This window comes from Homo sapiens, chromosome 7, assembly GCF_000001405.40.
Source record: "Homo sapiens chromosome 7, GRCh38.p14 Primary Assembly".
Taxonomy (NCBI): Eukaryota; Metazoa; Chordata; class Mammalia; order Primates; family Hominidae; genus Homo; species Homo sapiens.
The window spans coordinates 61302213-61303313 of record NC_000007.14 but is presented as its reverse complement, the minus strand read 5'-3'; the positions used below and the strand labels follow the sequence as shown (position 1 = coordinate 61303313).

Here is a 1101-nt window from a genome sequence, read left to right as displayed (position 1 = left end):
CAGAAGCATTCTGAGAAACTACTTTGTGATGTGTGCATTCATCTCACAGAGTTGAAACTATCTTTTGATTGAGGAGTTTGGAAACCATCTTTTTCTAGAATCTGCAAATGGATAATTTGTGAGCCCTTTGAGGTCTCCGGGGAAATAGAAAATATCTTCAAATAAAAACTGGACAAACCATTCTGAGGAGCTTCTTTGTGGTGTGTGCTTTCCTCTTGCAGAGGTGAAACTTTCTTTTGATTGAGCAGTTTGGAGACAGTCTTTTTGTAGAATCTGAAAATCTGAAAATGGATATTTAGAGCAATTTGAGGTGTATGGTGGAAAAGGAAACACCTTCACAGAAAAAGTAGACGGAACCATTCTGAGAAACTTCTTTGTGATGTGTACATTCATCTTAAAGAGTTGAACCTCTCTTTTGAATGAGCAATTTTGAAATAATCTTTTTGTAGGATCTGCAAGTGGAGATTTGGACTCCTTTAGTCCTATGGTAGAAAAGAAAATATCTCCACATAAAAACTAGACAGAAGCATTCTGAGAAACTCCCTTGTGATGTGTGAATTCATCTCACAGAGTTGAACCTTTCTTTTGATTGAGCAGTTTTGAAACACTCTTTTTGTAGAATCTGCAAGTGGATATTTAGAGCGATTTGAGGCCTATGGTGGAAAAGGAAATATCTTCACATGAAAACTACACAGAAGCATTCTGGGAAACTACTTTGTCATGTGTGCATTCATCTCACAGAGTTGAACCTTTCTTTTGATTAAGCAGTTTGGAAACGCTCTTTTTGTAGAATCTGCAAAGGGAAATTTTTGAGCCAATTGAGGCCTATGGGGAAATAGGAAATATCTTCACATAAAAACTAGACAGAAACTTTCTGAGAAACTTCTTAGTGTTTTGTGCATTTATCTCATAGAGATGAACCTTTCTTTTGATTGAGCGGTTTTGAAACAGTCTTTTTATAGTATCTGCAAGTGGATATGTGGAGTGATTTGAGGCCTATTTTTGAAAAGGAAATATCTTCACATAATATCTGGACTGAAGCATTCTGAGAAACTTCTTTGTGATGTTTGCATTCATCTCACAGAGTTGAATATTTCTTTT

General features: G+C 36.0%; 1 annotated feature.

Moving 5' to 3' along the window:
- Nucleotides 377-878: an enhancer, noted in NCBI's record as "OCT4 hESC enhancer chr7:61285161-61285662 (GRCh37/hg19 assembly coordinates)". NCBI's record gives its function as "activates a minimal SCP1, AML or CMV promoter by ChIP-STARR-seq in primed H9 embryonic stem cells {active_cell/tissue: H9 hESC(primed)}" and the evidence as "EXISTENCE:reporter gene assay evidence [ECO:0000049][PMID:30033119]".